Consider the following 1,369-nt stretch of genomic DNA (forward strand, 5'->3'; position numbering starts at 1 on the left):
TCTGGACATAGGCGCAGGCAAATATTTCATGATGAAGATTCCAAAAGCAATTGCAACAAGAAGAATTGACGAGTGGGACCTAATGAAACTAAAGAGCTTCAGCACAGCAAAAGAAACTATCAACAGAGAACACCCTACAGAACAGAAGAAAATATTTTCAAATTACATATCTGAAAAAGGTCTAATACTTAGCATGTATAAAGAATCAATAAGCAAAAAACAAACCCACTACAAATAGGCAAAGAACATGAACCCCCACATCCACCATCCTCAAGTCCATGTGCAACTTCTTTCTGGATGCTGGACAAGGACTTGGGTACCAAGAGGGCACTGAACGGGTTAACACTTAAGCCGTCTGTGGATTCTTTTTTCAAAAGACAACGTATGTATGGCAAACAACCATATGAAAAAATACTCAACATCACTAATCATCAGAAAATCAGAACCATGAGATACCATATCACACCGGTCAGAATGGCTATAATTAAAAAATCAAAACATAACAGACGGTGCCGAGTTTGTGGAAAAAAGGGAATGCTTATACACTGCTGGTGGTGATATAGAAAGGAGACAGGGAAATGCTGGGTAGAAGAGAGTGGTTCCCTGGCAAAGCCCTGCCCACAAGCCTGGAAACCCATGGCCCTAAATGGGAACAGGCATTCCTGCTTTTGCACCCAAAAGTTGTCTTTCAGCTCACCATGCACCCCCTGTCCTGTACCCATATATGCCCCAGACCCCAGGCTCCAGAAGCAGACAAGCAGATGAGGAGATGAACAGAAGAGCAGAATTGCAGAATGATGTGGCAGAAAGAAGAGAAGGAGCATCTGAATGCCAAGAGGAGTTTGGCTGGCAGTGGTTGGAGAGATCAGCCTCTGGATGGCAAAGCTCCCGGGGAAGATCATCTTCCCATTCCATCCCCTTTCCAGCTTCCCATCCATCCCATTGAGTGCCACCTCCACCACTCAATAAAACCCCCACATTCACCATCCTCAAGTCTGTGTGCAACTTAATTCTTTCTGGATGCTGGACAAGGAACTGGGTACCAAGAGCGCACTGAACAGGTTAACACTTAAGCTGTCTGTGGATGGCAAAGCTAAAAGAGTGCACTGTAACACATGCCCACTTGGGCTGTGGGAGTCGCAGGAACCCACCCCTAGACAGTACCATGGCCACTTGCCCTGCCTATTGCACCTGCCTGTCTGCATGCTTCCCTGCCCAGTAAGGGGTTTGACAGCACACACGGTGGCCAGACAAGCCACACCCCTGTTGCACATCCTGCCAAGGGGAGTCAGGGAAGTCTCCAGTTTCATCAGGAATGTAAATTTGTTCAGCCATTGTGGAAAGCAGTTTGGAGATTTCTGAAATAACT

The sequence above is a fragment of the Homo sapiens genome, chromosome 4 (genome assembly GCF_000001405.40).
Source record: "Homo sapiens chromosome 4, GRCh38.p14 Primary Assembly".
NCBI lineage: Eukaryota > Metazoa > Chordata > Mammalia > Primates > Hominidae > Homo > Homo sapiens.